Source organism: Homo sapiens, chromosome 4 (assembly GCF_000001405.40).
Source record: "Homo sapiens chromosome 4, GRCh38.p14 Primary Assembly".
In the NCBI taxonomy this organism is placed as follows: Eukaryota; Metazoa; Chordata; class Mammalia; order Primates; family Hominidae; genus Homo; species Homo sapiens.
In genome coordinates, this window is record NC_000004.12 from 45,072,806 (window position 1) to 45,073,908 (window position 1,103).

Consider the following 1,103-nt stretch of genomic DNA (forward strand, 5'->3'; position numbering starts at 1 on the left):
CTGTAAGTGTGAAGATATGTCTTCAAATAATACTGATCTATGGGTTTTTTGTCCATTAGAACAGAAAAGAATTAAAATCAAATCTGTAATAATTTATATTGTATTTGGCATTTTATTAGTAGGATATTTTTTGTTACTATACTTGAATAATTTTAATAGAAAAATAAGGGTATATCTTGTTATTGCATTTCTATGGTATATTAGTCTGTTCTAACATTGGTATAAAGAAATACCAGAGACTGGGTAATTTACAAAGAAAAGAGGTTCAATTGGCTCATGGTTCCACAGTTTGCTTGGGAAACACAGTGGCATCTGCTTCTGGGGAGGCCTCAGAAACCTTACAATCATGGCAGAAAGTGAAAGGGAAACTGGCATGGCTGGAGCAGGAGGCAGATAGAGCAAGTGAAGGCGGAAATGCAACACACTTTTAAACAACCAGACCTTGTGATAAATCTATCATAAGAACAGCAATCGGGAAGTTTACACACATGATTCAATCAGCTCCCACCAGGCTCCTTCTCTAACACTGAGTATTACAATCCGACATGAGATTTGGGTGGGGACACAGAGCTAAACCATATCATGTGTCTTATAAATTGCATTTTTATATTTCTCACTTATTTAAGTCTCATTTTTTAAAAAAATTGATCTTAAGAGAACAGTGTATTTCTTAAATTTCTGTTTGAGACTATGTAAACTTGGAAATTGGTATAGAAAATATAAGGTAGATTTCAAGTTGGATAGAAGTTTTCTAATTTAGAATATTTCTATTTTTCTTCTGTAGGAATGGAAAATCAAAATCTATATTAACAATACTATAATTAAGCAATAAGTTGATTTTAGCTAAAAATGTGTCATGAATCAAAGAATATTTTGTACTAGCCAGCACAACCTAGCTAAAAGAATGTTATTTATTATGTGAAATAGAACAGTTTTGACAATAGTAGTTAGACACCTATCTTCTGACTGATTCTTTCTTCAGTGATATGTAATTCACATATAATATTCACATTTACCAAAAAGTACAATTCAATGCTTTTTGCTGTACTCATAAAACTGCTTAACCAATGTCATTAGGTAATTTGAGGACATTTCTTAACCCC

General features: G+C 31.9%; 1 annotated feature.

The window, feature by feature from the left end:
• Nucleotides 288–447: an enhancer, noted in NCBI's record as "active region_21528". NCBI's record gives its function as "activates an Ori minimal core promoter by ATAC-STARR-seq in GM12878 lymphoblastoid cells {active_cell/tissue: GM12878}" and the evidence as "EXISTENCE:reporter gene assay evidence [ECO:0000049][PMID:35858748]".